The 10,724-nt window shown below is 50.5% G+C and overlaps 2 annotated features.

The window, feature by feature from the left end:
* Nucleotides 1,970-2,470: an enhancer, noted in NCBI's record as "H3K27ac hESC enhancer chr18:12089047-12089547 (GRCh37/hg19 assembly coordinates)". NCBI's record gives its function as "activates a minimal SCP1, AML or CMV promoter by ChIP-STARR-seq in naive H9 embryonic stem cells {active_cell/tissue: H9 hESC(naive)}" and the evidence as "EXISTENCE:reporter gene assay evidence [ECO:0000049][PMID:30033119]".
* Nucleotides 4,618-5,350: an enhancer, noted in NCBI's record as "H3K27ac-H3K4me1 hESC enhancer chr18:12086167-12086899 (GRCh37/hg19 assembly coordinates)". NCBI's record gives its function as "activates a minimal SCP1, AML or CMV promoter by ChIP-STARR-seq in primed H9 embryonic stem cells {active_cell/tissue: H9 hESC(primed)}" and the evidence as "EXISTENCE:reporter gene assay evidence [ECO:0000049][PMID:30033119]".

Raw genomic sequence — 10,724 nt, 5'->3', positions numbered from 1 at the left:
TGGAAAAAAAAGCCAGGCGTTTCCCCAACCCCTCATGCTCTGGCCAATCCACCTGTGTTCCTCAATCAGCCCGGGCTCCTGGAACACAGCCTGCTCTGCCTGCGCGCAGGGGCAGGGGCCTCCTGGAGCCTCCTTCTCTACCCCACTCCCTGTCCCTAGACAGACTTTCCATCAGTCAAAGCTCCACCGGGCAGGAGAGCAGAGCCCCAGCTCTGGTTACCAGAGATGGGAGGTGGAAGAGAAGACTTGAACAGGGACCAGAAACAGGTACAAAGTAACACTCAGATGACAGGGAGGAATTCCGCTCTTCTGTTCCACAGCAGAGTGATGACAGTTCATGGCATCATTGCACCTCTTTCCAAAAAGCTTGAAAAGGAGGATTCAGAATGTTCTCATCAGAAAGAAATTTTCTTTTTCTTTTTCTTTTTTTTTCTTGAGACGGAGTCTTGCTCAGTCACCCAGGCTGGAGTGCAGTGGCCAATCTTGGCTCACTACAACCTTCGCCTCCCAGGTTCAAGTAATTCTGCTGCCTCAGCCTCCTGAGTAGCTGGGATTACAGGCACGCACCACCACACCTGGCTAATTTTTGTATTTTTAGTAGAGATGGGGTTTCACCATGTTGGTCAGGCTGGTCTCAAACTCCTGACCTCATGATCTGCCTGCCTCGGCCTCCCAAAGTGCTGGGATTACAGGCATGAGCCACTGTGCCCGGCCTCCACAAAGAGATTTTCACAGCGGTATGAGGTCATGGAGACACTCAATAGCATGATGTCATCATTCCACAGTGTACGCGTGGACCAACATGTCCCAATCTATCCTCACAGTGTAATCATTTACTATTTGGCAAATGCGATTCAAGAAATATGAATAAGCAATGGTAAAACTCACGTGAGACCATGAAATTTCCTAAATTTCCAAAGCAATCCTAAGACGTCCAGACTCCATCGCATGCATCACACTCCCCGATTTCCAGTGTCAGGGAAAAGCTAGGGACCCGTTTCCACCACACAGACCAGTGGAACAGAAAGGAGGACTCACAAGTACACCCACACACCAAAAACCACCTGATCTTTGATAACATCCAGGAAGATAAGCCATGCAGAAAGGACTCTCTATCGAATCAATGGTGCTGGGAAAGTGCACAGCCACGTGCAAAGGAATATCCCTGGGCCCTTACCTTCACCCTATACAAAAATCAACTCAAGGCAAATGAAGGATGCCAATGGAAGGCCTTGAGCTATAAAAATCCTACAAGAAAACCTGAGAAATACCCTTCTTGACATGGGCTTGGGCAAAGAATTGATACGGCTGAGTTTCCCAACAGCAACGCCAAAACAACAGGGCTTAACAAGTGGAATCTAATAAACTTCTGGAAGAGCTGACTCAGAGCAAAAGCCATCACCAAACAACTGAACAGACAAGCTACAGAATGGAAGAAAGTGTGTGCAAACTGTGTATCTGACCAATGTTTTATAACCAGAATCCTATAAGGAACGTAAACAAATCAATCACCTATTTTTGTGCATTTTTAGTAGAGACAGGGTTTCACAATGTTGCCCAGGCTGGTCCCGAACTCCTGAGCTCAAGAGATGCGACAGCCTTGGCCTCCCAAAGTGCTGGGATTACAGGTGTGAGCCACTGCGCCAGGCCAAGTATTTAACCTCTTTATGACTGTTTCTTACATTTGGAAGTGGGGATGCTGTAAGTACCCAGCCTATAGAGTTATTGTGAGAATTAATGCCTCACATATATACAAATTTATACAGCTATACTCTTAGAACAGTACCAGGAGCAAAGAAAGTACTGGTTAAAATTTTAGCGATTATTAACTACTACAAATACTATTACTATTATAAATAGCATATGATGTATTATTACTACTATAGTTATCTTAAAAATCTAAAATAAAAATTTTAAATAATATTCTAATGTAATCTGTCAGGGTTAGGGTAGAACCAGTTCAGGGCCAGGGCCAGGGCCATGGCAGGACCAAGGTCAGGAACAGGGGTCAATGCCAGGCCAAGGCCAGGGCTAGGGCCAGGTCTGTGCTAGGGCCAGTGTGAGGGCCAAGGCAAGGTCAGGGCAGGGCCAAACTCAGGGCAGAGGAGGGTACAGCAGGCCTAGAGTAGCACAGGGCGAAGGCAGGGCAGGGCCAACCAGGGCAGGTCTATGGCTGGGGCAGGGCCAGGGCCAGAAGCAGGGTAGATGTAGGGCCAGGGCAGGGCCAAGACAGTGGCAGCTCCAGGGCAGGGCCAGGGTTAGGACCACGGTCATGTCCAAGGCCAGTGCCAGGAAAAGGGGAAGGGCAAGGGCGGGGCCAGGACAGGTACCTGGCAGGGCCAGGGTCTGGGACAGGGCCATGGTAGGGCCAGGGCCACAGCCAGGTCTGTGCTATGTCCAGGCCCAAGACAAGACTAGGGTGAGGGCTAAGGTAGGGCCAGGGCAGGGTCAAAGCCAGAGTAGGGCAAGGACAGGGCCAGGGCAGGGTGATGACACAGCCAGAGCACGGCAGGGCATGTGGTGCCAAAACCAGGGGCCGACCAGTGCCAGCTCAGGGCCAGGAAAAGGCCAGGGCCAGGACAGAGCCAAGAAAGGGTCTGGGTCAGGGCCAGAACCACAGCAGAGCAGGGCCAGGGCCAGGGCCATGGCAGAGTCAGGGCAGGTACTTGACAGGGCCAGAACCAGGCCATAGTGAGGGCAGGGCAAAAGCCAAGGCAGGGTCAGGGCAGGTCCAGGGAGGGGCCAGCGCCAGGCAGGGCCAGGGCACAACCAGGGCAGGGTAAGGCAGGGCAACAGTACCAATGGGCCATGGCAGGGTGAGGTCAGCGCCAGGAGAGGACAGAACAGGCAGGGCCATGGTGTGGCCAGGGCAGGAAAGAGCCAAAGCAGGGCCAGGACAAATCAGGGCGAGGACATGTCCAAGGCCAGCTCAGGGCCAGAACAGGACCAGGACCGTGACCATTGGCAGGACCAGGGTCACGACAAGAGACAGGGCCAGAGCCAAGGCAGGGCCAGTGCAGGTTCAGGGAAGGTCCTGGCCAGGGCAGGGCAGGACCGGGACAGGCCAGGTAATGGTAGGGCAGGTCCAGGGCAGGGCCAGGCTGAAGGCCAAGGCCTTGCCCAGAGCAGAGCCAAGGCAGAGGCAGGGCCACGGCATGGCAGAGCCAAGGTAGCACAGGGCCAAGAAAAAGCCAGGGCAGTTAGGAGCCAGGGCAGGGCCAGGACATTGCCAATACCAGGGCAGGGCCAGGGAATGGCCAGGGCAGAGCCAGGACCATCACCATGGCAGGGGCAGGACCAGGTTTGGGGCAGGAGCAAAACACGGGCAAGGACAGTGCAGGTTCATGGTACAACCAGGGTCCAGAACAGGGGCAGGGCAGGGCCAAGGAAGGGTCTGGGCCACGGCAAGACCAGTGACAGGGCTGGGGCTAGGACGGTGACAGGGCCAGAATCAGGGGAAGGGCCAAGCAGTGCAAGGCCAGGGTGGGGCCAGGCATTTCAGGGTCAGGGCCAGGGCAGAACCAGGGTAAGGTTTCAAGCAGGGAAGGGCCAGGGCCAGGACAGGAGCAGGGTCTGGGGTAGGGCAAGGGTAGGGCCAGAACAAGGGCAGGGCCAGAGCAGGGTAAGGGTCAGGGCCAAGGCCAGGGTAGGGACAGGATGAGAAATATGGCAGGACCAGGGGTAAGGCCAAGGCCAGGGCTGAGTCAGGGCAGGGAAGGGCGTGGTATGGCCAGTGCAGGACAGGACCAGAGCTGGTCCATAGACAGGGCAGGGCCCATGATGCCAAGGCAGGGCCAGGCTAGTGCCAGGGCTGAGGCAGTGTCCGAGGATGTCCAGGGCACAGCCAGGTCCAGAGCCAAGCCAGGGAACAGCCAAGTCAGGGTAGGGCAGGGCAATGGCAAGGCTGGGTCACTGCCGGGACAGGGCAGAACAGGGCAAGGTGATGGTAGGGGCAGGGCAGGGATAGGCCAAGGCAGGGCCAGGTCACTTCAGGGCCAGGACATCTCCAAGTCCAGTTCAGGGCCAGGGCCAGGGCTATGGCAGGACAAAGGCCAGGGCAAGGGCCAGGGCCAGAACCAGGTCTGGGCTACGGCCAGGTCCAGAGCACGGCCTAGCCAAGGCTAGCGTGAGGGCCAAGGTAGGTCCATGGCAGGGTCAAACCAGAGTAGGACAAGGGCAGGTCCAGGGCAGGGTGATGACACAGCCAGAGCACGGCAGAGCGTGTGGTGCCAAGACCAGGGACCGACCAGTGCCAGCTCAGGACCAGGACATTTCGACCATGGCCAGGGCAGAGCCAGGAAAGGGTCTAGGTCGGGACCAGGACTAAGGCGGAGTAGGGCCAGAGCCATGGCAGAGTCAGGGCACGTCCCTGGCAGGGCCAGGTCCCAGGCCAGGGATATGGCAGCAGCAGGGACAGGGCCTGGATAACGGTCAGGGCCAGGGATATGGAAGGACCAGGGTCAGGGCCAGGGCCTGGGCGGGGCCAGGACAGGGCCAGAACCAGGCCATAGTGAGGGCCGGGCAAAAGCCACGGCAGAGTCAGGGCAGGCCCATGGAGCGGCCAGTGCCAGGAGGGGCCAGGGGACAACCAGGGCAGGGTAAGGCAGGGCAATGGCACAACTGGGCCATGGCAGGGCGAGGTCATTGCCGGCAGAGGGCAGAACAGGCAGGGACATGGTGGGGCCAGGGCAGGGACGGGCCAAGGCAGGGCTGGGACAAATCAGGGCCAGGACATGTCCAAGTCCAGGTCAGGGCCAGAACAGGACCAGGACCATGACCTTTGGCAGGGCCAGGGCCATGGCAGGCCCAGGGTCAGCACAAGGAGCAGATCAGAGCCAAGGCCGGGCCAGCACAGATTCAGGGAAGGTCCAGGGCAGACGCAGGGCCACAGCCTGAGCCAGGGAAGGGCCAGTGCAAGGGCAGGGCCAGGGCAGGGACACAATAACACAGGGCTAAGACAGGGCCAGGGTGGGGCCAGGGCAGGGTAGGGCAGGGCCAAGACAGCCAGGTAACAGTAGGGCAGTCCAGGACAGGGCGGGGCCAGGCTGAATGCCAATGCACCGGCCCTCCCTACAAGGCTCCTGCCACCTGGCCACTGCCGCAGCTCCACCACTGCCATAGGCCTGCCCCCACCCTGGCTGCTGCCACCTGCCTTCCTAGTGTTGCCACCCTCCTACCTCTCTGGCATGCTTCAGTGAGGCGAGCTGCAGTGTTGCAACCTTCAGTGTATGGCAGGTGTCTCCTCCTCCTCCTGGCATGGAGCAGCTGGGCAGACAAAGCCAGAAGAGCCTAGAGGAAGATGCAAAGGGTGGTAGCGTCAGAGCCTCACCTTGTCATGTGAGCCACTGGGTGGCAGAGGCCAGTTTCAGCAAAGGCACTCACACCCAGCCTCCAAAGTCCAGCCTCTCCTTTTGGCCCAAGCTAGCCAGGAACTGGGGCCTAAGGTGGGTGCTGGAGACACCACAGATCCCAGCTCCCCACTCCACAGGAGCCGCTGGGCCCACCGGGGCTGCACTCCTTGTTGAGCAGGAGCAGCAGAAACTCAGAGATCAAGCCAACCCTCTGCATCCAGGTGCCAATTCCCATTCTGGACGCCTCCACGCACAGGGCCCTGTTCCCTGTGGTGTCCACTACTCCATACCCAGAGGTGCCAGGCAGGCTCTGTGGCACAGACCCAGAATGCACAGGCCCAGTAACCATGGCAGGTGTGGGCTCTGCCATGCTTAGGATTCCCACGGAAACACTGTGCACCTGCCACACTCCAGTATGAGCAACAGGAGGTCGCCCTCTGGAGTGTGGAGTCCAGGGAGAGGAGAATTGCTCCTTCCTTGGATGCCACCACTGTCGCTGCCACCTCTACCAACCACCGCCAGCAGTGCAGCCCCCAACAGCACCCAACTAGCCCCCCTCCATGGCTAGTCCTGCCTCAATAGCGCCCCCCACTTCCACCCCCAACAAAGCCGCCAGCAGCATAGTACCTGATTAGTGCCCCTAACCTGTCCTCCTCCACGGGCACTGCAGCCCCAGAGAGCACCCATAACCCACTCCCCGCCATGGGCAGCACAGCCCCATATAGTGCTACCAACAGGTACACCCAACGCAGGCAGTGACACCTCTGAGAGTACCCCCAACGCACCCCCCACTGTGAGAAGTCCAGCCCCAGATAGCCCCTGTCGTACCACTCTGGTAGTGCTGCAGTCTCTGTCGCCGCCACCACCAACCACAGTGAGGCGAGCCGCTGCGCCACAGGCTCTAGCCTCCAGCTGCCAGGCACAGAGCAGCTCTTGCTGACGGCCGCCTCCTACCACTTCAACCACGCTGCTGTCTCCATGGCCATCTTCTTTGACTACAAAGGAATAAAACTAGATATAAGTAAGAGAGTGATTTTGGAAACCATACAATCACATGGAAGTTAAACAATCCATTCGTGAATGAATGACTAGTGGGTCAATGAAGATACTAAGATGGCAATTGAAAAATTTCTTGAAACAAATGGTAATGAAAACACAATATACCAAAACTTATGACACACAAAAAGCAGTAGAAAGGCAGAAATGTATAGCTATAAGTGCCTACCATCCAAACAGAAGAAAAACTTCAAATAAACAATACACCTTAAACAACTAGTAAAGAACAAACTAAACCCAACATAAATAATAAAGATTGTAGCAAAAATAAAATTGAAATAAAAAAACACAAGACTAAACAAAAAGTTGGCTTTCTGGAAAGTTAAACAAAATTGACAAACTTTTAGTCAGGCTAACTAAGAAAAAGAGAAGATTCAAATAAATAAAATCAAGAGATAAAAAAAGGAGACATTACAACTGATGCTTCAGAAATGCAAAGGATCATAACTGCCTATTTAATAGGCCAATTAATTAAAAAGCCTAGTAGAAACTGACAAATTCCTAGACGCATACAATCTACCTAGGTTGAACCATGAAAACATCGAAGACCTGAACAGATCGGTAACAAATAATGAGATTGAAGCCATCAGAAAAAGTCTCCCAGTAAAGAAAAGCCCAGGAACCGATGGCTTCACTGCTGATGGCTTCACACCACACATTCACAGACCTAGTACCGATCCTACTCAAAGCTATTTTGAAAAACAGGAGGGCAGACCTAGTACCAATACTACTCAAAACTATTTTGAAAAACAGGAGGGAATACTTCCAAACTTATTCTATGAGGCCATTATTACCATAATACCAAAATCAGACAAAGACATCAAACAAGGAAACTACAGGCCAGTATCTCTAATATTGATACAAAAATCCTCAACAAAATGCCAGCAAATCAAATTCAACAATACATTAAAAAGATAATTCATCATGACCAAGTGGGATGTATCCCTGAGATGCAAGGGCCATTCAACACAAAATCAGAGGGATACACCATATCAACCGAATAAAGGACAAAAACGGTACAATCGTGTCAATTGAAACTGAAAAAGCATCTGATGAAATTCAGCATCCCTTCATGCTATAAATAAATCATCAAAAATCTGGATACAGAAGAAACATACCTCACCATAATAAAAACCACACGAGAGAGACCCACAGCTAGAATCACATGGGATGGGGATATATGGAAAGCTCTTCCTCTAAGATCTGGAACATGATAAGGATGCCCACTGTCACCACTGTTACTTAACATAGTACTGGAAATCCTAGCTGAAGCAAAATCCTAGCTAAAGCACACACCAAACCGTCCCCCTCCCCGCACCCCATAGCGCCCTCAACCCGAAACATCCCACCCGCCCCCGTGGGCAGTGCAGCCCTGGATAGTACCCTTAACCCTCCTCACTGCTGCCGGCAATACAGTCTGGGATAGTGCCCCCAACCCGCTCCCCGCCGAGGGAAGTGCAGCCCCAGATAGGGCCCCCAATTAACCAATAGTGACATTTTACTTTGCCAATATTAAGATGATCTTCTGTTGAAATTTAGCTGAAATCTGTTTAACCCCAGAAATGGCTGAACTAAAACTGTAGAATTGATTATGACATATGAGGTGATGAAGCTGACCTACGTAGGGATGAAATGACATAGTATCTGAGATCTTCTTTAAAATGTTTCAGCCAAAATAAATACATAAAGTAAGTGTGGCAAAGATTTATTGGAGCTGGGGAGTGGATGAGTGACCTTTTTCTGCTATTATCTCTATTTTTGTGTATGTTTGAGATGTTTGATAATATGAAAGAAGGATCAAGGGAAAGATGCTTTAGAAAAAGATTTCACACGGAACTGAAGCTGTGCATGACTTTCCATTCTTTAAGTTGGCCTGTGGGATTTGACCATCCCAAATCAACTTCCCGCAATACCTTAAGAATGATGAGCACTTACTGAGACAGCAAACAGCGATGGTGCTGATGTGACTGGAAGTGTAGGTAGAGGAATAAATCATCCTTGAATCATGTAACAAATGGCAAAGAAAGTGCTACCACAGTGGGTCTGGTGATGTGCTATTCTCTATTGCTACAATAGAAATAATGCATTTTCAAGTATTTTATTATTTCCTTTATATCCTTTAAGTGCTCTGTCAGCTTGATCAATACAGAGAAAAACACATTTTCACTATGATAAAAAGAACTAGTCAAAACCTACTGTGAGAGTAAAATAAAATTAAAATGACTTTTTTTCTTTCAATAGCCTTATTTCCATTGAAAGTTTGAGATAAGATGCTAAATGTCACAGGTAGAAAGCTGTGCAAAATTCTGCGCTTCAATTCCAAGGGTAGGTGGTTTAGAAACTGCATTGACCGGCCAGGTGCAGTGGCTCACGCCCGTAATCCCAACACTTTGTGAGGCCGAGGTGGGCAGATCATCTGAGGTCAGGAGTACAAGACCAGTCTGGCCAACATAGTGAAACCCCATCTCTACTAAAAATACAAAAATTAGCGGGGTGTGGTGACGGGTGCCTGAGATCCCAGCTACTTGGGAGGCTGAGGCAAGAGAATCACTTGAACCCAGGAGGCAGAGGTTGCAGTGAGCCGAGATCATGCCAGTGCACTCCAGCCTGGGTGACAGAGCAAGTCCCTGTCTCAAAAAAAGAAAAGAAAAGAAAGAAGGAAGGAAGGAGAAAAGAGAAAGAAAGAAAAGGAAAGGAAAGGAAAGAGAGAAAAAAGAAAAGAAACTGCATGGACCTACCAGCACATTTTCTGATGTTATAATGAGTCTATTTTTGTTTCTTTTGGGGAGATGCTGGTGTGGAGATGCTTTTAGCTAAGAAAAACATCATCTTAGATTTTCACTTAAAGCTAAAAAGATCTAACAATTTTAATAATTGGGAAGACATCAATACAAATATAAACTTTTCTGTACTAAAACTGTAGAATTGATTATGACATAGGAGGTGATGAAGCTAGGGGAGAGTCAACCATTTCCTGGGATTCTCTAATTCTGTAACTTACTTTGTGTACTGTTTTACAGTTCAAGAGGTGTTTTCACATCAATTGCCCCATTCCATCTTTATTTCCACTCTGTGTGCAGGCAAGGCTTTATGAAGTAATGCTCTACAAAGAAACTGAGGCTCGGAGGGGCAAAATGATGACTTGATCAAGGTCATACAGTTACCAAAATGGTGGTGACAGGACTATTGATTTATAATCAATAAATTACTTAGAAGAAATTACTTAAAAGACAAGAGTAACTAAAATGGAGACATGCCAACCCTTGCTTACCTTTCAAAGCCGATCTGCCGGAATGTCTTTTCCCATGTTGAGCCTGTAATGGAAGGGAGAGACATAATCAGGGCACATCAAGGACTCAGATAGTTTTGTTCGGCTTTTCCACACACGCTAGATATTTGGTTTTATGTTTAGGTAGGATGACTGGTTTTTCTTCAAATGCATTACTCCCCACCTCCAGTCCCAGATGGCCTTTGTAGAGTACAGAAAATTTAATAAAAAGTCCGCATATACAGAAGTCGAGTCCACATAGGGATTTAAGTGCATATAACCTGCAATGTGGCCAGCCGCAATGGCTAACGTCTGTAATCCCAGCACTCCGGGAGGCCAAGGCAGGCAGATCACCTGAGGTCAGGAGTTCGAGACCAGCCTGGCCAACATGGCGAAACCCTTTCTCAACTAAAAATACAAAAATTAGCCGGGCATGGTGGTGGGCACCTGTAATCCCAGCTACTCAGAAGACTGAGGCAGGAGAATCACTTGAACACGGAGGCAGAGGTTGCAGTGAGTCAAGATCGCGCCATTGCACTCCAGCCTGGGCGACAAGAGCAAAACTCCATCTTGAAAAAACAAAACAAAACAAAACAACAACAACAACAACAAAATCTGCATGTGACAGAACTCTCCATGCCAACCCCTCTGGTAAAGCATTAGGCCACGCCAATAATTCTCTAAAAATCTAAGTGTGTCCTGCTCAGCAAAATATGGTGGAACTCTCCTGTTAAACATAATCAAACAGCTGTACGTTCTAAAATTCAACTTGTAATTTTGTGGAGCAATCTGGAAAGCCAGGTGACACTGAAGTTCCAACACATCACCCACCATGCCTTTATCTTACCAGTGTTGACCACAGAATTCACATTTCCTTTTTTTTTAAGCTAAACATGTTAAATCAGAAGAACACAAAAATGCTGTTCCAACTGATATCAAGAACAGTATATCCAAATCCATAAGAGAAGGACAGCTGGGTATAAAAAAGATGTTATACAATTTTTCTATGTAATATTTCTTCCCTACGTCACAGGCATATAATAATTTTC

The sequence above is a fragment of the Homo sapiens genome, chromosome 18 (assembly GCF_000001405.40).
Source record: "Homo sapiens chromosome 18, GRCh38.p14 Primary Assembly".
Taxonomy (NCBI): domain Eukaryota; kingdom Metazoa; phylum Chordata; class Mammalia; order Primates; family Hominidae; genus Homo; species Homo sapiens.
This window is presented reverse-complemented; position numbering and strand designations above follow the sequence as displayed.